The sequence below is a fragment of the Homo sapiens genome, chromosome 3 (assembly GCF_000001405.40).
Source record: "Homo sapiens chromosome 3, GRCh38.p14 Primary Assembly".
NCBI classification, from domain to species: domain Eukaryota; kingdom Metazoa; phylum Chordata; class Mammalia; order Primates; family Hominidae; genus Homo; species Homo sapiens.
In genome coordinates this window covers 85,939,887-85,963,418 of record NC_000003.12, presented here as the reverse complement: position 1 = coordinate 85,963,418, position 23,532 = coordinate 85,939,887, and the positions used below count along the sequence as shown (strand labels likewise).

General features: G+C 33.7%; 1 protein-coding gene across 17 annotated transcripts in view; it reads right to left on the bottom strand.

The window, feature by feature from the left end:
• Positions 1 to 23,532, bottom strand: part of CADM2 (cell adhesion molecule 2) — a 1,115,441-nt gene that overhangs the window by 111,011 nt on the left and 980,898 nt on the right. For all 17 annotated transcript variants that reach the window (NM_001375961.1, NM_001375960.1, NM_001167675.2 and 14 more), the window contains one exon: positions 1,772 to 1,950. In NM_001375961.1, the coding sequence (NP_001362890.1) occupies positions 1,772 to 1,950 (179 nt within the window). The remainder of the gene's footprint in view (positions 1 to 1,771; positions 1,951 to 23,532) is intronic.

The window sequence follows — 23,532 nt, the reverse complement described above, 5'->3', positions numbered from 1 at the left end:
ACTTACCTTCCTGACACACCCAGTGGTTGTAACATTCTCTCTGGCAGAAAGGCCAGCAGGGTCTGTCTACAGGGATTACCACATTTAAATACAATTTATCAGTCTAATTGGATTAGGCTAATTTTTCCAAAGTTGAATTTTGTACAATTCATGAAGTGCTAGAAATTCAACTGTTAGTTCTACTATTTTCTAGATGTTTTACATGAATAGCCTATTCATTGTGAGCCTTTCGTTGCTTACCATAGCAAAGCAGTATTAAGTACTGAGAGATTTTATACAATAATGCAACTTGAAAATAGGAAAACTGTATATTGACTGAACATATTAATTTTTTCCAACTTTGGCAAAATGAACAAAATGAATACCTGGGAAAAATAACACTTGTTAGATTAATTTCTCTCTAAAATTAATCTCTTTACAAAGAAATATACTAGACCCCCAAATTTCTTTTTGGAAAGGTATGGAACAAACACATATGTCTTTTAGTATTCCATAAATGCATTCAAGGGAAAGATATCAAATAAACATATTTTGTCCATAGTTTCTAAGATCCACGATTTATGACAGCACTGTGTTATGTATAACACTCATTTAGTATACTGTAATATTATGTTGAATATAATACTAGTCCCAGAAAAGTTTTCTTGGTGAAATATGATGAAAATCTTACATTGGCTAATGGCTCTTCCTAGTGGAGATTCGCAATGCACCCTGACATATACAATAAAGTCTGGGAAGTACTGTAGTAAAGAAACCTGACTAATTTTGTTTATTGCAATATTCATCAATCTCGTAAAAATTCATCTCCATCTAACAATATCTAAAAGAAGCTACCTTATGAAAAACCCATTGTGGCATTTGAAAGTTGGAAAAAACAGAAATTTTATTCACTCATGGCGACTGGTATTTCTTTCTGTGATTTTGTTATATTTACTCAAATTGTGAGGTAAATAGAGTCAAGAAAAAGTCTGTAGGAACTTTAAATTATTGTTCAGTGAAATTGATGCAGTTATTGCTAATATTGTACACTCCCATTTTTGCTGCATTTCAATGACACTGTCATTCTTTGTGAAACCAAATTACAGAAGTTATAAAGTATATGTTTATGATAATACAATAAAAATTAGCTTAAAGGAAATGTAATTTTCATGATTCTGGATTATAAGTGAACACATTTATTTATAGAATTTAAAGACAATCAGCCGGGTGTGATGGCTCACACCTGTAATTCCAGCATTTTGGGAAGCCGAGGCAGGCTGATAACTTGAAGCCAGGAGTTCGAGGTAAGCCTGGTGAACATGGCGAAAGCCCATCTCTACTAAAAATATAGTGGTGCATGCCTGTAATCCCAGCTACTCAGGAGGTGAAGCACGAGAATTGCTTGAACCCGGGAGGTGGAGACTGCAATGAGCTGAGATCATGCCACTGCACTCCAGCCTGGGCAACAGAGCAAGACTCTGTCTCCAAAAAAAATAAAAAATAAAATAAAGACAATCATTAATATAGTTTACGAGCCAACATGTAAGAAGTATATTTATAATTGAGAAAGCTTTTTACAAAAAAAAATTTTATGTATGTTACAATTTTATCAGTCTGACTGGGAATATATTAATATTAAATATAATATCTCATAATTAAATATCTCATAAGATGTCCTGAAGTAAAAAGAAACCATATAATTTTGTTCACTGCACTTAAAATTCTGATATATTTAAATAGTTTTTCAAGTTATGCATCCTTTCACATATAATGTTTTCCAAAATTTACTCACCATGCACAATGAGAACATATTCCGCACTGCTTTGGCCAATGGTGTTTGTGGCTTCACATCGATATGTACCATTATCCGTTTTGTTCAGGAAAAGAATGTTTAGCTCCCTACCACTCACAACCATTCGGTCAGGATCTGGTAATTCTCCGCCATCCTTTGTCCACAAAACAGGTTCTGGCCTATTGGATTGAAACATGCATGTAGATAGCAAAAATAAGAAATGTTAAATATGTGTAAATTTAGTAAATCAATTTTTTAATATTTAACATGTATTTTGTACACAACCATATGCTAACTTCTATAAGATACCAAAAGGACCATCACACACTCACTCAAAAGAGTCGGAGGTATAGCAAATATAATCTGCTTCTATTCTATTTAACTAAGCAGATATGTATTCAGAGACTAATTTGTTGAGTCCCAGTAGCAGTCATTTCTGGTCCCCTGCTCAAGTCGTGTGGCCCAGATTCTGCTGCTAATGGCTCACACCCCACATTGGAAGACTACCCTTAGGCTATTGGGGCAAATCTTCCTCAGATGTATTTGGATATAAGTAAATATAAATATTTATATTTATATATAAATATATAATTTTTATAAATATGTATATAAAATATGAGTATAAATATATATAATAATAATGAATACTAAATAATACTTATTATAATAAATAATATTAAATATATAAGTATTCATATTCATACATACAAATACATATAAAATAAGAATATAAAACATAAAATAAATATAAAAAAGATAAAAATCTTTGCACTTAGAGCCACCCTTGTGGCACAGCTTTGCTTGAAACCACCTGAATCTTTTCCATTTCACCTCTGCTGCTTTTCTCATTCTTTTAGAGGTTTTTACTGTGAGTTTTCTTTTAACAAAATTCCTGCAAAGGAGCCCTATCTCAAAATATGCTTTTAGAAAAGAAGGATAAATGAACCATAGATTCCCCTCTTCAAAAATTTCAGTCTTCTGTAATAATTAATGATAGAAATAGTTGTTAATAATATCTATTACCATCTGCTAGTTGTTATCCTAGGTAATTTACATTTATTTTCTGTAATTCTCAAAAGAACACTTTGATGAATATCACTTTTTAAAATGTGCTGCATATAAGAATATAGATGAGAGAAGTATTCAAACCCTGGTCTTCCTCTATAGTTGATGCTTCATCTAGTACCTCCTGCTTTCTAACATGATGAATATTTTTCTAGGCTTAGTATGGAAAGTTTTCTAATTTCAGCATAATTTTATCACATGGAATCATTTTCTCAAAAGCTTTGTTAAATTTGATAGAAATATTGAATTTATTTTATGTTATTGTGAACACAATTAGAACAGAGGCACTGAGTAAGTGATGTCTATGGGTATGGCATCCTTTCTAAGAGGAAGGATATATACCATTCTAACAAAATTTTGTAGAAGGGATAAAAGTTGTGAAAAATAATAACAAATATTGTAAACAATATCAAAACAAGAAGATTGGCAGTGTTAATGGAACTGATCAAGTGTTTAAGTACTGACAACACTTGGAGAGTGTGATCTTGTAATATAAGAAATATGTATTTTGTCTTCTCCCCCAGCTCCTAACATAGTGCTCCTGAAGCCCCAATAGATAGTGGTGATAGCAGAAATTTTTGTTCTACTTAGCTTCTTACCCTTGCAAGAGTTTCCTGGCAAGAAACTCCTAAGACGTTTATACAGTCATATGCTACTTAACTATGAGGATATAGCCTGAGAAATGTGTTATTAAGTGATTTTGTCATTATACAAACACCATAGACTACATTTACACAAACCTAGATGGCACAGCCTACTACACACCTAGGTAATATGCTATAGCCTATTGATTATGCTATAAACTTGTACATCATGTTACTGCTCTGAATACTGGAACAAATTGTAACACAATGGTAAGTATTTGAGTGTATAGACATGGAAAATGTATAGTAAAAATACAGTATTATAATAGTTTGAGACCACTATCCTATATATGGTGCATCATTGATCAAAGTGTTGTTATATGGTGCATGACTGTAATTTCCTGAGTGATAGTAGACTCTGACACAGAGCTTCTAAGTCCCTTGGGCATGATAGGAGAATCTTTTGCTCTGAGATGCTCCTATGAGATGTTCTAATCAGAAGTTTCTGGTGGGCTCCTGGGCAGCTTACTGGGTAAATACAGGTTGGAACTTTCAGTCCCACTTTCCTTTCAACCTCCAGGGAGCTGAGGTGACTGAAGGTTAGATGATCATCAATGGTCACTGATATAACCAATTATGCCTACCTAATGAAGCCCCCATAAAACCTAAAAGGGCAGGGTTTGGAGAGCTTCTGTATTGCAGAGCATGCAGAAGGTCCAAGATGGAAGCATGCCAGGAGAGGCCATGGAAGCTCCTCTCCTCTTCCTGCATACCTTGCCCTATCCATCTCCTCATCTCGCTGTTCATCAGTTGCCTTTGTGAGACAGAGAGAGAGAGAGAGAGAGAGATAGATAGATAAAGATATACAGCTATATAGCTATATAGATATAGATATACAGATATAAAGATATAGATATAGCTATATAGATATATAGATATAGATATATAGATATATAGATATAGATATAGATTTTTTTAATTTAAGTTCCACGAAACATGTGTAGAACATGCAGGCTTGTTACGTAGGTATACTTGTACCATGGTGTTTTCCTGCATCCATCAACCCATCATCTAGGTTCCCTCCCCTCACCCCCAACCCTGCAACAGGCTCCAGTTTGTGTTGTTCCCCTTCCTGTGTCCATGTGTTCTCATTGTTCAACTCCCACTTATGAGTGAGAACATGAAGTGTTTGGTTTTCTGTTCTTGTATTAGTTTGCTGAGGATGATGGCTTCCAGCTTTATTCATATCCCTGCAAAGGACATGATCTCACTCCTTTTTATGGCTGCATAGTATTCCATGGTGTATATATGCCACATTTTCCTCATCCAGTCTATCATTGATGGGCATTTGTGCTGGTTCCAAGTCTTTGCTATTGTAAACAGTGCTGCAATAAACGTATGTGTGCATGTGTCTTTACATTAGAATGATTTATATTCCTTTGGGTATATACCCAATAATGGGATTGCTGGGTCGAATGGTATTTCTGGTTATAGATCCTTGAGGAATTTGTGTCTTTATATTAGAACGATTTATATTCCTTTATGTATATATCCAGTAATGGGATTGCTGGGTTAAATGGTGTTTCTGGTTCTAGATCCTTGAGAAATCACCACAGTGCCTGCCACAATGGTTGAACTAATTTACATTCCCACCAACAGTATAAAAGCGTTCCTATTTCTCCACAGCCTTGCCAGCATCTATTGCTTCTTGACTTTTTAATAATCGCCATTCTGACTGGTGTGAGATGGTACCTCATTGTGGTTTTGATTTTCATTTCTCTAATGATCAGTGATGTTGAACTTTTTTTTGTATGTTTGTTGGCTGCATAAATGTCTCCTTTTGAGAAGTGCCTGTTCATATCCTTTGCCCACTTTCAGATGGGGTTGTTGTTTTTTATCTTGTAAATTGGTTTAAGCTCCTTGTAGATTCTAAATATTAGACCTTTGTCAGATGGGTAGATTGCAAAAATTTTCTCCCATTCTGTAGGTTTCCTGTTCACTCTGATGATAGTATTTTTTGCTGTGCAGAAAGAAGCTCTTTACTTTAATTAGATCCCATTTGTCAATTTTGGCTTTTGTTGCAATCGCTTTTGGCGTTTTCATCATGAACTCTTTGACCATGCCTATGTTATTGCCTAGGTTTTCTCCTAGGGTTTTGATAGTTTTGTGTCATATTCTTTATAATTAATGAGTGAAAATAAGCAAAGTGTTTCCCTGAGTTCTGTGAGCTATCCCACCAAATTAACAACACCCAAGAAGGAAGTCACGGAAATCATGGTTTGTAGGCAGTTGGTCAGAAGTACAGGTAACAGCCTAGTGCATGTGAGTGGCATCTGAAATGGGAGGCAATCTTGTGGGACTGAGACCTCAATCTGCAGTCTGACGTATACATGAATTGAATTACATGACACCCAGTTGGTGTCTCATGAAAAACTGATTGTTGGTGGGGGAAACTGATTGTTGGTAACACACATTTTGGTGGTCAGAGATGAAGTGTTGTAGTAAATGTGTAAGTAGAAAGTAGTAAACAGTTTGTTTTTTTCTGTCTTCAGGAAGATAAAAAACAAAAAGGGAGGATAATTTTATCAGATCTATATCTATGAAAATTCTGAAAGAGCATTATATGATAACAAGTGAAGAAACTAGGTATATAAAATATTGGAAAAATATAATATATTGGAAAAATATAATAATATGTATCGTTCAATTAGATAGACAAATCACTCCCCTAGTATCCTTAATAAAAGCCAAATTATTAATAGTTCTCAACATGCTTCATTTATCCTAAATCTTTTAACTGCTATTTGAATTTACCAATTCTTATTTTATAACAGGCTAGATTGTCTTGTGCTATGTACATCGTTAACATCTCTTGAAGCAGCAAAAAATGATAAAATAAAACTATGATTTGTAGCAATGTAGAAATCTTGCCCTTTCCACAAAGTCACATAAGACCCATATTAAAATAGAAGTTATACTGGTGATACTTTGGGGTTTAGAGAATTCATCTTTATAATACTACTCAAAGGAAGTAATTTAGTATCTTAGGAGGCAACCTTTTCTTGATGTTTGAACTTTTAAACATACAGAGAAAATTGTATGCATGTATTTATACACTTCCGTATACTCAAAATTACCCCCCAAAATCTAAACTGTCATGATTTTTTCCTAGTTCTGTTTATAAGCTTTTTTGTCTCATCTTAAAGCAAATGGCTCTGTAAATATGTAGTTAAATTCAGATATGTCTTTTTAAATTGTTTACATAGAAATGTAAAGATCTAGATAAAGTATTCAAGTTGCCAATCTGTATTTTAAAACAAAATTTTTCAAAAAAAAAAAAAAACTTCCTCAAAGGAAATAACAACAGCATCTACAAAATTGGTTAACAGGAGGATATAGTTGTGTAAGTCTTTGCTGACACTGATCTAAATCCTTCAAGAATTCTTGATCCTAGTCTCTGTGATAAATCTTCAAGGTGGCAAAATAGCATCATAAGATGCAAATTTAATGAAATAGAGGTTAGAGTTTATGCATAGATTAAAAATAGCCTACACATATTCCCAATTAGTATTTAAAATGTTCAAGCTTCTTAATATCACCATAAAAATATTAAGTGGTTTAGCAAGTCTTGATACAATTTGTGTTTCATCTTAATAAAGAGGGCCCCCTAGGCTTTCTCTAATTGGAACCCAGAAATGATTGAGTTTCTTGTTACAAATGAAGAACAATCTTCCCTGCTGTTCAGGCATCCAAAGAGATCATTTAAAAGTGGTTCCAGTCTACAGTTTCTATATGATAAGGCTGAAAAAAGAGTAGGAGCTAGACACCAGGAGTAACAGGACAGTGAAAATAGCATCAGATGTGAGACGATAACGTTACGCCACTTTACATGAGAACACTTAGTCCATCCAGAACGTTTCTCTTTAACCAGCCCAAATAATTAAAAAGTTGGAAAACTTATGTTTGAGATAACATTTTGATTTTGTTTCTATCAATTCTATAAAACTATAAAGATGTTTATTTTTCCTTATATCTAAAGATATTTTTTCAGAAGTTTCTTCCTAGAACAACAGAAAAGTTAAAAGTAAAAAGAGAGACAAAATATGTTTATACATTTATTCTCAAATATCCTGAGGCGTTCATTGATGAAGTTGTTTTCAATCTGAACAGATTTTTTTTAGAAAACCTATTAACTCGGTGTTTTGTTTTCTACATATCTAATAAGAGATTACCTGTATGTTGCACAATTCCTAATTTATAAATTACTGTTGAAAGGTATTGCCACAAGTCTCTCAGATGTTGATTTTTATTTAATATTTTGAACCAGATACAAACCTGATTACTAATTTTCAGTGAAATTCTTTAATTTGTATTTGGGGCATTTATTCTGTGCAGTTATACCATAGCGACAGTACTTCTAATCTTTTCTGTGCTTAGAAACTATGGGATTATTCACTCCCTAGGTACTGAGAATGGAAACTTTCTTTGCCTTAATCGTTCACATCCCCTCTTTTAGGTTCTTGCTTCCTAACAGGAATAAAAAACAAGAAGTTCAGTAATGGAGAAGTGAGTCCCATCATGTAGGTCTCCTAGGAAAAGAATCTTCCTGGTGTGGAAAGGGACAGAGTTAAACACTATGCAAAATTTGAAATTCTCCAGTCTCTCCTTTTTCCAAACAGTGATATCCCCCTTGGGATTCGTGCTGCCTTTTTTTCATAAAGATAGGATATGTTGGGGTCTAGCACTAAAATTAATCCTATGAAAATTAAACTTACTTTTCCTAGATGAAAAAAAAGTCACCTTTCCTATTTGAAAAAAATGTCACATTCAAGACAACATCTTGTTCTATCTTAAGAAAAATGAACAAAAATTTCAAATATTTATATCTTATACTTCCTTTAAGACAAAGCAGAATCATATAGTCAGTAACTTTATGCCTTATGCACCATGTCACCATAGGAAGATGTCTACTGGCTTTATTTCAGTTTAGAAATTCCACAGATGGGCAGTAAATATTATTAAAGTTTTAAAACCAGGGAGTTTTTTAAAAACTTAATCCCTCTCTATTTCCTGTGATATTTTCACTGGAAAGTGAAATAAGGTGATAGGAGTTACAAAAACATCTTGATCCTTTTTCTGCTTTAAGCAAAGACTTTTTGATTAAGAAATTATAGTAAGAGTCTATGCATAATACACCCAATATTTATGTTATCATATTTTTAGAGAAAGGAAGGGATAAGTAAATGTAAATTAATTGACAAATGGATTTGAAAATTGTTCAAGTAAAAGATTTAAAGTTTATTGAGTTCAGGAAAAAAGAATCCTGAACAAACTTTAGCTTAGGCATTTCCCCTTTGGGTAGACTGAGATTACATCTCTAAACGAAGCCCAAACACTGCTAAATAATTGAGGAGGAAGAAAAAAGGAGAAGAGGAGAAATATTAGAAGCTGGGGTTGCTTGGTAGCTTTTTTAAAAAATTAAAATGTAAATACAAAGCAATCTAAAAGAGCAGTATTCTGAAAACTGTGAAGCTGATTAAAAATGTACTTTTTAATAACTTCCTGTCAGAAGTTAAGGATGTAGTTGAAAAACAGCAAGAAATACAAAAGGACTACTTGTGGGTCTATTTATTGCAGTGATCATTACAAATTTTAAAACTACACTAAGGGTTTTTTGTTATTGAAGATCAAGTAAATATTTCTAAACATAATTTATAAATAGCATTCCACATATATGTAAAGTCATATTAATTATTGAAAAATTATTGCTTTAGGTCATTGCAGTGTACCTCAACCCGTGTTTTCTCCTCAGATTTCATTTTTGTGCAATTTAGTTGTAATGAAATTAGATTTTCTTTTATTCTTGGTATTGATTTCATACTTTTATGGCAGCAATTCTTTAAATATCAAATAAATTGTAGAATAAGCAAGCTTAAATTTGAGTGTTTTACTTATTAAAATTTAGGCTCATTTTAAAATATAATAAATGAAACATCTATGTGTCTGATAGTCTTTATACATGTATGCATGAGAAAAAAACAAAACTTCAGAACTATTTATTGTAGAGTAGTCTTCAATGTATTTCCACAGGTTTAATTAACAGAAAATGTCCTATTCTACACTTATATCTTAAGACAGATAAGAGATCAATGAATTTTCTTTTTTGTTAGTTAAAAATGGCTGTATATTCTTTAATAGGTACTTGATAAATGCATGAAATTATCAAATAATTATCTATAAAAACATCTGTGCAAGTTTTTGAACCAGGGATTGTGAGGTGTATAAAAAACTAAAATAAATATCTGCTCTGTGGTATTATATTCAAGTAGTTTCTATAAGATATATGTCATCAACCATAATATTTGGTAGCATACAGTAAGTGGCATAAATGAGTTATGAAACATCAGAAAGATTCATCACCTATATTAGGGACATTCTAATAGGCTTTATGAAAAATAAAACTCTTGATTACGGTGTTTAATTATAGCAGAATTTTGACAAGTAGAAATAGAATACACCAACTCAATAGGAGTCTAAGCCCTGGGTAGAATGCTTGCCCTCAAGAGGCCATAATGTTGAAAAGATTAATTTAAATATTGGGAATGTCAGGAAAGAAGTGAGAATAGGGTTACCAAGTAAAATTGCTATTGGCAAAAAATTACAAATTAAGAAAAGATAAGGTTAAAAGCACTTAATATGATAATTGAGTTGGGAGTAATAAAAGCAAAAGGCAAACTATAAGTTGTGTATGAAGAATCAAGAACAAGTATGCTTATAAGTAGCTTAGTCCAAGAGAAAGTCTATAGGACGAAAAGCAGAACATGAAAAAGTATTATTTTAGTTTAACACCAGAAAACTGATGATTACACCAATATAGAAGAGAGAATGAAATGTGGGAAGGAAAGTTTTGGTCATAAACAGGAGCAACATGAACAAAAGCAAAGAAATTGAAAAGTTTGGGGTACAGGTGTGGGGGAAACATCTGTACATTTAAAGTAAGAAAAAAAAAATAAAGTAAGAAACAGCCAGCCTGGAGTGCCAGCTGAAGAATCTAGACTTTCTTTAAAAATGAAATTATCTTATTTTGATTTTTGAGAAGTGAGTATTCCTGATCAGTTTCCTTTAAGAAAATTAATGTGAAACATCTGGGGAAAATCCAATAAAGAGGCCATATATACAGTTCTTAAGACAGATAACAAGTTCCTACATAAGGGAGAGAAATAATAAAGGAAAGCACATAATAAACAATAAAAGAGCCCTGAAAAAGTAAATACAACTTTTCTGAAGCTAGGCAGTGTATGGTGTTAAGGAAGAGATAAAAGAAACTCTCTTTACAGCCTCTAGTCTGTACAACAGGTGCAACTGTAGTGCCAAAAAGAAAAACAACAATTTAAAGACTAACCAACAAAGCAATTAAACAAAAGAGAAAAGAGATTGAAATAAAGCCGAGAGGGAAAAACTGATGATTTCCATTTTGAACATGCTGAATTCAAGTGTTACAAGAAAACCAAGAAATACATCTTGATCCAGCAATTAATTAAATAAATAATTAGAAATCAGGGAAGAGGGCAGAACTGGAATTTTTACAGAGACAGGTGCCAACCATGTTTCCAAGCTAAAGAAAGAAAACAAAAGAGCACATCATTGAACATCTTAGAATACACTCACTTAGAAAATAAGAAAAGGCAATACAGTCTAAGAATTCTAAGAAAAAAAATCAAGAGAATAGTGTCATTGGAGCAAGAAAAAAATTATTTCAAAATTTATTGTCCTGAATGTTTGTCTTTATAATCCCACTAATACCTTGACTTCTCAGTTCTCTGATTTTCTCCTGTCCAATAATTATTTTGTTAGCTCCACCTCCGCCATGATGACACACTTCACATTGTCATCATTGTTACTTCCATAAAAGTCTCATTTTTTTTTCTAATTACAAACTTCTATTTGTTCAGTTCGCTACTTTCTTATATATCATCAAAACCTCCAGTCTTAACTGAGGGGCCCACTATTTTCCTTTATTCTTTAATGGCCCTCTCCCGTTCACTTCCCTCCTTAGCCAGTCTTAGGATCCAGTCAATCAGATTTGTTTTGTTTTGTTTTTTCCCTTTCTCCATCCATTATTATCTAGTTAATTCCCAGCTCTAATGAACCCAACTTTTCCATCTTCTCTGTGCCTTTAGCACAACATCAAAGCAAGCTAAAGAAAAAGGAGAAGGTAAATGATGTTTGTTTTACTAAATACTGTCCTTGAAGTCATCATGCAAGTGTGCACATGAAGAGCAAGGACAAAGGCAATTTTAAAGCCAAAGTAAATTTCATTACTGTATCTTGGAGGTTTTTTGTTGTTGTTTTCCAATCTGTTGAAATATGCACAATGTATTATCATTAATGTCATTAAGAATGTGTGATTAGACATACACATTTCTCCGTCCCAGAGCTGTTTAACATAATATTGAAAATAGACATGTTTGAAAAACTTTGCATCTTAATATAGTTAGTACCCTCATTTGTTAAATTGGATTTGTGTTTTAACATTTCAGATACTTGGTACTGAAACAGAAGCATAAATGTACAGAGAAAATGGAAGGAGAGGATTGAATAAATTACCCAGATGAAGTAAACTCTTAAACAACTTATCTTTTAAATTATAGATTTCCCACTGTGTTTTTTCACCTATTGCAGTTACTTGTATTGATTAATTTAATGTGTCTTTGTGCATTTGTGTGTGAGAAAGAACAAGGTGGTTCCTTAGCTTTTCTTCTCATTGGCCTCTACTCTTTTGTTTTAAATATTTCTGGATATGTTCTTCAGTTTCTTATTCCATCCTCACAATTATCATGAGTTAGAGTTTGCTCAGTATTGAGATGGCATTGCCCATATCTGCACAATTGATTTTATCAAAAGCAATAGACTTTTTTTCTTCTATTTATAGTTTCAGAATCCCAAAGACTCCTGTTGCCAGTCTCAACAACAAAAGTTTCTACTCAAACATCACTATCAGTACTTCTGTCTGACAGGGTCAAAGACATTTTCATGCAGTAATAAATGAAGTTTGAAGTGGAAAACTCAAGCCTACTTACTCCCTTAAACTGTAAATTGAAACGCTGATTCTAAGTTTATCTACTTATACAAGTTTTTAAAATCAATTATGACATTAGTATAGTGTCAAGTAGGAGGAGTCTCATTACATTATCGGTTAGCTTTACAGGGGAAAATAACATGCATATTAATTTCACCAGTAGATTTTAAACTTTGATAGCAAATAAAAAATGGACTTCTATTCTGATTAATATCAGCATGTGCTACTTGATTCTGATTTTTTAAGGCACTTCTTGCCTCCAAGCTTAGAAGCTTGTGGTTGAAACAGGAAATAACCTATGCAAGAAAGAGGTAAGTGCTCTTTAGAAGACTTGAAAATAATGGCATTTTTAGAGTGCCTATTAAATCCTGAACTACTTTTTACTGATAAGGTAGTGTTCATTGATGATTATTTTAACAGTTTCAAAAAACAAAGCAGTCACATTGCACTAGAAACTGTATAATTCCAGCCAATTTATGGCACAACAAATAAAAGATTATCCTTAGAAAAGATAAGATTGCTATGATCATGAAGGAGTTACAGATTTTTGCATTGAAAGAAAAATATTGAAGATTGTGACAAATGCCTAAGCTAATCTCTTAAGGACTTTCTGCTGAAGCAAAACAATTACCCATGCCTAATCTATACTTAAATTTCTTTTCTTTGGTAAACACAGAATATTAATTCCCAGTTAAAAGATCAAAATATCTTGAGTAAGCATTCATTCTCTCATCTACTGTGTATATGTACATTAAGCATAAAATCTTTATAATATATTTAACAATAACCATTCTTCAGAAAAGTTTTCAACTTATTTGAAAATTATTGACTATTAAAATTTTATTTTAGAACTCTTTGCAATATTTTCGTGTTTTCATAATGAAAAAATTATGAGTGTGCATTTCTCAGAATCTTCCATTTTATCAACCTGCGTACATCATAAGAACAATGTGACACTATATAAAATGTTTCTATAAGCATCCTAATCAATCAGAAGCCTATAAACCATTCAATTCAAGGACACTTTGGAATGATGAGGTCCTATTTTTTATACAAGAGTAATTTTACAACCCATTACTTCCTTTAATATAAAATAGTGCTCATTAACCTTATAAGATCTAGTATTGATATTAAACACTGTGTTATCATTATACTACTGCTTCTGCTTCATGATTTGTTTCATTTCTAATATTAAAACCAGTGATCTTCAGAAAATAATAGTAAAGTCCATAGCATTTATCTGATAGCTGAAAAATTAAATGCTCTGAATAAGTAAAGCTTGAAGATAATTGAAACTTAAAACTGAAAGTTTTGAAGGTATTTTTTAAATCATTTAGATGTAATCATTCTCAAAGGATCAAACTTCTCTGTTATTAAACAGAGGAGTTTTGGTGACAACCTTGTTTTCTAGAGCTAAGATATCTTTAGTTTGAACACACATTTTTATATAGTGTTGTTTCACAGGAACTAAGACTTAACATATTTTTTCCCCTAAATTTCTGCAATACCCAGCTTTCTCATAGCTGATATGCTTATTGTAACAATTTTCAAACCCTTTAAGGTGTGACATACAATAAAAAATATATTTGACAAGCATACATACTATGTAAACACATATATACAAGAAATAATAGCTTGCTTTCTCTTATATTCTGTGACATTTTCTTTACTCTTTCTTCTTTTCTACATTTTCCTTTTCTATTATTTTCTTTTTAAAAAAAAGTCATATAAATTGATTTTGTAACTCATTAATAAGCCACAATTTGCAATTTGAAAAACACTGCACTAGTGACTCACAGTGAGAGTGCTGTATCCTAGGAGTTTTCTTGTCCCTGAGCTTCATTGCTGTTATATTTTCAATGTTGTTTCTGCATGGTTGCATCACTATCTTCATTCTTGCAATTTTGAGTGGTGGTGCTTAAGTCCACCATGCCTCACATTTCCATGACATCTCCTGGCCCCACGTTATCATAGGTGCTGCTCTATTATCCGTCTTTATAAAGTCTTATCTTTTACTTTCCTTTCTCTTTTCCTTGAAGCACTTGTGGTACTCTGGATTTGCAAGACTTGGGCTTTAGAGCCCTCCTCAATCACTGAGAAAGTCTGCCTATTCACATTGGAGGTTTTCGTAAATGTTCATATTTTCTATACTTTTAAACACTGGCATTGTTTGCTGTTTATTTTATTTTATTTTATTTTATTATTTTATTTAGCTTTGAAATTTAGAAGCTTCTATACGTTTGAGTTTTGTATACCTGGATTGAGGTTACAAACATATTGTAAAATCATGTGTAAAAAAGATGTGTAATGCAAGAAAATTTCTTTTAGGATGTATTTTTTTGAGTAAGTGGCTAAGGAATAAGAATTTTTCAAGTTTCATTATTAATTAAAATAATAGCACATCTCTAAAGTGATTCTGAATTAAATCTATTTTTCACATTTTATTTCCTTTGTATATTTATGCAGAAATGATAGTCAAGATATTTAACAGCTGGTATAATAGGTGGACAATAATCCATTTATCAGTAAGTTGTACTGGTGACTACTAGAGGGATATTAGTTCCAAATTTATGATACATGTTACGAAAAAAATGCAAAAAAAAGTGCAAATCTTATTGAATAGCCTTAGAGCAATAGACTAACTTTTAAAAATACATAAATAATCATAGTATTTCAATTTTTAAAATGTTGAGTGATTATTCATTTTTCTGCAAACTTTCTACAATTACTATGTTGTTGAATTTGCTATATAAACACATATGCAATGTTTCCAAACTTTAAAGAGTAAAATGCTTAAATGTAATCTCAAAAATTAATGTATTTTTAAAAATACAAATTTTAAATCTATAAGCAAAAGAGTGCATGTCTGAAAAATCTACTAAACGTATATGACAGTACCATTCCAAAATGGTGTCTTCAATGTATTGAGACATGTTTGGTTTAGGGTTTTCCAGTGAATATTTACATAATCCCTCAAAATAATTGGCTTTTTGTTGCAAGAAAACTGCTTACCTGGAAATGTTCAAAAAGTACATTTCCTCTATGGATCTATAATCGTGATTCTGCAAGCTCTTATGGGACTTTCACAAGACATTGGAACATTTAATTGAAAATGATTGAGTGCCCAACACACCGCAGATGCCCATGCCCAGCCTAAATAACAGCAGTGGAGATTACCGAGAGTCAGCTTCTTGTTTCAAAAACAAAACCAAATATATTCGGTCTCATTTCCAAGATAATCACTTGTGTGTTTCCAGCGAGTCAATGTGTGATTAAATTTTGAAACCATAAAATAGAAGCAAAAGACCAACCATATGGACCTCAGAAAAGAAACTCATTATGGAAAGGACTGCACACATTTTTTTTTTCAATTTTGAAAATTTAGAATGAATTTTCCAATATTATATCTTTGAAGACATTTTGGAAGAAACTGACTATATTGCTTTTAATTTTTAATTAGTTAATTGAGACAATTTTGCATTTCTCTATATATCAGAACACAAAGTACAACACACACACAGACACACACACACATACACATCCCAATCTAAATGCTCTGTATCCTTTATTATCGAAGTACTGCTGGTATAAGAATATCTATATGATAAGGAGACAATCATTATGTTTATCCCACTAGTTATTTTAGTAACATTTTATACATAGCATTTAATAAGAAAGACATACTCTTGATTTGCATTTTTCTGATGGCCAGTGATGATGAGCATTTTTTCATGTGTCTTTTGGCTGCATAAATGTCTTCTTTTGAGAAGTGTCTGTTCATATCCTTCGTCCACTTGTTGATGGGGTTGTTTGTTTTTTCTTGTAAATTTGTTTGAGTTCATTGTAGATTCTGGATATTAGCCATTTGCCAGATGAGTAGATTGCAAAAATTTTCTCCCATTCTTTAGGTAGCCTGTTCACTCTGATGGTAGTTTCTTTTGCTGTGCAGAAGCTCTTTAGTTTAATTATATCTCATTTATCAATTTTGGCTTTTGCTGCTATTGCTTTTGGTGTTTTAGACATGAAGTCCTGGCATGTGCCTATGTCCTGAATGGTATTGCCTAGGTTTTCTTCTAGGGTTTTTATGGTTTTAGGTCTAACGTTTAAGTCTTTAATCCATCTTGAATTGATTTTTGTATAAGGTGTAAGGAAGGGATCCAATTTCAGCTTTCTACATATGGCTAGCCAGTTTTCCCAGCACTATTTGTTAAATAGGGAATCCTTTCCCCATTGCTTGTTTTTGTCAGGTTTGTCAAAGATCAGATAGTTGTAGATGTGAGGTATTATCTCTGAGGGCTCTGTTCTGTTCCATTGGTCTATATCTCTGTTTTGGTACCAGTACCATGCTGTTTTGGTACCAGTACCATGCTGTTTTGGTTACTGTAGCTTTGTAGTATAGTTTGAAGTCAAGTAGCATGATGCCTCCAGCCTTGTTCTTTTGGCTTGACTTGGCGATGCGGGCTCTTTTTTGGTTCCATATGAACTTTAAAGTAGTTTTTTCCAATTCTGTGAAGAAAGTCATTGGTAGCTTGATGGGGATGGCATTGAATCTATAAATTACCTTGGGCAGTATGGCCATTTTCACCATATTGATTCTTCCTGTTTATGAGCATGGAATGTTCCTCCATTTGATTGTGTCCTCTTTTATTTAGTTGAGCAGTGGTTTGTAGTTCTCCTTGAAGAGGTCCTTCACATCCCTTGTAAGTTGGATTCCTAGGTATTTTATTCTTTTTGAAGCAATTGTGAATGGGAGTTCACTCATGATTTGGCTCTCTGTTTGTCTGTTATTGGTATATAAGAATGCTTGTGATTTTTGTACATTGATTTTGTATCCTGAGACTTTGCTGAAGTTGCTTATCAGCTTAAAGAGATTTTGGGCTCAGATGATGGGGTTTTCTAGATATACAATCATGTCGTCTGCAAACAGGGACAATTTGACTTCCTCTTTTCCTAACTGAATACCCTTTATTTCTTTCTCCTGCCTGATTGCCCTGGCCAGAACTTCCAACACTATGTTGAATAGGAGTGGTGAGAGAGGGCATCCCTGTCTTGTGCCAGTTTTCAAAGGGAATGCTTCCAGTTTTTGCCCATTCAGTATGATATTGGCTGTGGTTTTGTCATAAATAGCTCTTATTATTTTGAGATACGTCCCATCAATACCTAATTTATTGAGAGTTTTTAGCATGAAGGGCTGTTGAATTTTATCAAAGGCCTTTTCTGCATCTATTGAGATAATCACGTGGTTTTTGTCTTTGGTTCTGTTTATATGCTGGATTACATTTACTGATTTTCATATGTTGAACCAGTCTTGCATCCCAGGGATGAAGCCCACTTGATCATGGTAGATAAGCTTTTTGTTGTGCTGCTGGATTTGGTTTGCCAGTATTTTATTGAGGATTTTTGCATTGATTTTCATCAGGGATATGGGTCTAAAATTCTCTTTTTTGGTTATGTCTCTGCCCGGCTTTGGTATCAGGATGATGCTGGCCTCATAAAACGAGTTGGGGAGGATTCCCTCTTTTTCTATTGATTGGAATAGTTTCAGAAGGAATAGTACCAGCTCCTCCTTGTACCTCTGGTAGAATTCGGCTGTGAAACCGTCTGGTCTGGGACTTTTTTTTGTTGGTAAGCTCTTAATTATTGCCTCAATTTCAGAGCCTGTTATTGGTCTATTCAGAGATTCAACTTCTTCCTGGTTTAGTCTTGGGAGGGTGTATGTGTCGAGGAATTTATCCATTTCTTCTAGATTTTCTAATTTATTTGCGTAGAGGTGTTTATAGAATTCTCTGATGGTAGTTTGTATTTCTGTGGGATCGGTGGTGATATCCCCTTTATCATTTTTTATTGCATCTATTTGATTCTTCTCACTTTTCTTCTTTATTAGTCTTGCTAGCGGTCTATTTATTTTGTTGATCTCTTGAAAAAACCAGCTCCTGGATTCACCGATTTTTTGAAGGGTTTTTTGTGTCTCTATTTCCTTCAGTTCTGCTCTGATCTTAGTTATTTCTTGCCTTCTGCTAGCTTTTGAATGTGTTTGCTCTTGCTTCTCTAGTTCTTTTAATTGTGATATTAGGGTGTCAATTTTAGATCTTTCCTACTTTGTCTTGTGGGCCTTTAGTGCTATAAATTTCCCTCTACACACATGTTTTAAATGTGTCCCAGATATTCTGGTATGTTGTGTCTTTGTTCTCGTTGGTTTCAAAGAACATCTTTATTTCTGCCTTCATTTCATTATGTACCCAGTAGTCATTCAGGAGCAGGTTGTTTGTTCAGTTTCCATGTAGTTGAGCAGTTTTGAGTGAGTTTCTTAATCCTGAGTTCTAGTTTGACTGCACTGTGGTCTGACAGACAGTTTGTTATAATTTCTATTATTTTACATTTGCTGAGGAGTGCTTTACTTCCAACTCTGTGGTCAATTTTGGAATAGGTGTGCTGTGGTGCTGAAAAGAATATATATTCTGTTGATTTGGAGTGGAGAGTTCTGTAGATTTCTATTAGGTCTCCTTGGTGCAGAGCTGAATTCAATTCCTGGATATCCCTGTTAACTTTCTGTTTCGTTGATCTGTCTAATGTTGACAGTGGGGTGTTAAAGCCTCCCATTATTATTGTGTGGGAGTCTAAGTCTCTTTGCAGGTCTCTAAGGATTTGCTTTATGAATCTGGGTGCTCCTGTATTGGGCGCATATATATTTAGGATAGTTCGCTCTTGTTGTCGAATTGATCCCTTTACCATTACGTAACGGCCTTTTTTGTCTCTTTTGATCTTTGTTGGTTTAAAGTCTGTTTTATCAGAGACTAAGATTGCAACCCTGCCATTTTTCGTTTTTCATTTGCTTGGTAGATCTTCCTCCATCCCTTTATTTTGAGCCTATGTGTGTCTCTATAGGTGAGATGGGTTTCCTGAATACAGCACACTGATAGGTCTTGACTGTTTATCCAATTTGCCAGTGTGTGTATTTTAATTAGAGCATTTAGCCCATTTGCATTTAAGGTTAATATTGTTATGTGTGAATTTGATCCTGTCATTTTGATGTTAGCTGGTTATTTTGCTCGTTAGTTGATGCAGTTTCTACTTAGCATCAATGGTCTTTACAATTTGGCATGGTTAAATAGGGAATCCTTTCCCCATTGCTTGTTTTTCTCAGGTTTGTCAAAGATCAGATAGTTGTAGATATGCGGCGTTATTTCTGAGGGCTCTGTTTGGTTCCATTGATCTATATCTCTGTTTTGGTACCAGTACCATGCTGTTTTGGGTACTGTAGCCTTGTAGTATAGTTTGAAGTCAGGTAGCGTGATGCCTCCAGCTTTGTTCTTTTGTCTTAGGATTGACTCTATTTAATAAATGGTGCTGGGAAAACTGGCTAGCCATATGTAGAAAGCTGAAACTGGATCCCTTCCTTACACCTTATACAAAAATCAATTCAAGATGGATTAAAGACTTAAACGTTAGACCTAAAACCATAAAAACCCTAGAAGAAAACCTAGGCTTTACCATTCAGGACATAGGCATGGGCAAGGACTTCATGTCTAAAACACCAAAAGCAATGGCAACAAAAGCCAAAATTGACAAATGGGATCTAATTAAACTAAAGACCTTCTGCACAGCAAAAGAAACTACCATCAGACTGAACAGGCAACCTACAAAATGGGAGAAAATTTTTGCAACCTACTCATCTGACAAAGGGCTAATATCCAGAATCTACAATGAACTCAAACAAATTTACAAGAAAAAAACAAACAACCCCATCAAAAAGTGGGTGAAGGACATGAACAGACACTTCTCAAAAGAAGACATTTATGCAGCCAAAAAACACATGAAAAAATGTTCATCTTCACTGGCCATCAGAGAAATGCAAATCAAAACTACAATGAGATACCATCTCACACCAGTTAGAATGGGAATCATTAAAAAGTCAGGAAACAACAGGTGCTGGAGAGGATGTGAAGAAATAGGAACACTTTTACACTGTTGGTGGGACTGTGAACTAGTTCAACCATTGTGGAAGTCGGTGTGGCGATTCCTCAGGGATCTAGAACTGGAAATACCATTTGACCCAGCCATCCCATTACTGGGTATATACCCAAAGGACTATAAATTATGCTGCTATAAAGACACATGCACACGTATGTTTACTGCGACATTATTCACAATAGCAAAGACTTGGAACCAACCCAAATGTCCAACAATGATAGACTGGATTAAGAAAATGTGGCACATATACACCATGGAATACTATGCAGCCATAAAAAATGATGAGTTCATGTCCTTTGTAGGGACATGGATGAAACTGGAAATCATCATTCTCAGTAAACTATCGCAAGAACAAAAAAACATACACCGCATATTCTCACTCATAGGTGGGAATTGAACAATGAGATCACATGGACACAGGAAGGGGAATATCACACTCTGGGGACTGTTGTGGGGTGGGGGGAGGGGGGAGGGATAGCACTGGGAGATATACCTAATGCTAGATGACAAGTTAGTGGGTGCAGCGCACCAGCATGGCACATTTATATATATGTAACTAACCTGCACAATATGCACATGTACCCTAGAACTTAAGGTATAATAAAAAACAAACAAACAAAAAAAAACAATTTGGCATGGTTTTGCAGTGGCTGGTACCAGTTGTTCTTGTCCATGTTTAGTGCTTCCTTCAGGAGCTCTTGTAGGGCAGGCCTGGTGGTATTTTTTTTAACAACTATTTGATTGAAATATGGGCTGTCCTAGCAATTTTTTAGAACTCTTCAATGTTTGCCAACTTTATTGAGTTATTGTGAAAAACATCAATGCTAAAAAACACTGGGTAAACAAAAAAATACAATCATCATTGTTGTTAATACAAAAGGGAAACTTGTTTGTAATCCCAATTCTACCATTTATCAGCTGTGTTACTGGGAAAGATCATATAACTTGAACAAGACTTATTTTTCTTCACCTAAAAAATTGAAACGATTACAGCAGTCTTTGTAAACCTTTTACAATGTAATAGTTGTGTGATTTAAATTAAACATTTATGCATGAGAGAAAATTATGAAAAACTATGCCAAAACAAGGTCTTATGTATCACTGACCCTGGATTCCTCACCACTCCTGAGCCAAGCCATCTACTTAGTTTGGGTTCTTTAAGGCCTTCCAGATCTGCATTTGTTCTTTGTCAAAACTTGCTAACTACTTAGTCCCTTTCACTCAATAAAACTGCTTCAGAGTGTAGCTTTTCCCACACGCATCAAACTAAAACTCAATCTTAATTCCTTCTGTTCCTTGCAAATTGATCTAAACTTGTCCTACCTTAAATTAAGGTAAATTAGAGAAGGGGCTTTTCCTGTGGCTCAGGATTTTCCAGTGTCTCGTTTTAACTATTTTGGATTTTACCCCAACTGAGGTTCATGACACTGCCTCTCTTCTCTCTAATTTATAACTATTATTATTTAACTTCAAATAAAATATCGAAGTTGCTGTATCAGTTTTGCCATGACTTCGGTCTGGATTCCTTTGCTGTTTAAATATGTTTTTGAAAATACAGACCCACTGTCCTGAAATGTGTTTATTTTGCTTGAAATCTTGGATTCCATTGCCTGAGAATATATGTGAGATGATAACTCAGTTGTCAGAGTTGCCATAATAGCCTAATATTAGCATGTGTATTAAATATATAAGTAAGACTTCTGAGTTGGAAACTTGCTGAGATACACTGTATGTATTTCCTTGATCAAGTAATAATTTATCACCCTCATTGTTATGATGTATTATACAATTACTTGGAGGCCGACATTTCATATACACTGTCATTATTAAAACAATCTGTTTGATAAATTTTGTGTTCTTCATTTTAGAGATAAAACTACTTGATGTGTAAGAGTGAACCCTAATGTAAACATTGGACTTTGGTGTCGTAATGATGGGTCAGTGTAGGTACATTGATTACAACAAATGTAACATTTTGGTATAGCATGTCAATACTGAGGAAGGCTATCAGTGGGTGAGGACGGGGGTATAGGAGAAATCTTTGTACTTTCCACTCAATTTTGCTGTGAACCTAAAACTGCTCTAAAAATAAAGTTCATCAATTTAAAAAAAGGAAAAAAAATACTCAGTGTGGTTAAGTGATTTGCTCAGGATTACTCAGGCCACTAATATCCGCAGATTTATAATTTAAACCCAGGTCTGCATTCTCTTTCTACAATACCTCCAAACATTTTGTGCCTCAAAGTATGACACCTTAGGCATCCTATTTGAAAATAACATACAGATCTCAATGATTAATTAGAGGTTTTCTATATAGCAGGAGAGCGGTAAATATTCTGTAATAACAACTGCTATATATTAGGCCAAATAATTTAACATTGCTATTATAGATTAATATTATTTTAAAGTACATATTTTATCTTATTTTGGTAAACAATATTTCACTCTAGATGATAACTTGCTTTCTTTGATTCGTAGTTTATTTTGTCATTTCGTCTGATGGTAATTGCACTGTATAATGATTAGCAAATAACCTGTGATTTGTAAAAAGGTACATGTTAGGCTAAGAAAATTGACTTTATATAAAACTGTTTTGCTGTAATTTTTTTTGGATGGAGTTTTGCTCTTGTTGCCCAGTCTGGAGTTCAATGGCGTGATCTCGGCTCACTGCAACTTCCACCTCCCAGGTTCAAGCAATTCTCCTTGCTCAACCTCCCCAGTAGCTGGGATTACAGGCGCCCACCACCACGCCCGGCTATTTTTTTTTTTTTTTTTTTTTTTTTTGTATTTTTAGTAGAGATGGGGTTTCACCATATTGCCCAGGCTGGTCTTGAACTCCTGACCTCAGATGATCCTCCTGCCTCCATCTCCCAAAGTGCTGGGATTACAGGTGTGAGCACCCAGGCTTTTGTCTGTTTTTTTTTTGTTGTTGTTAAAAATTCTCTATTATCCTAATAGAAAAATACATTAATATATACATATCAGAGTTCTTTAATTCCTGATCATTTCAAAAATAGATGTGTAATTATTTCTCTAAAACACCTCACTAGTTGCTATATAGT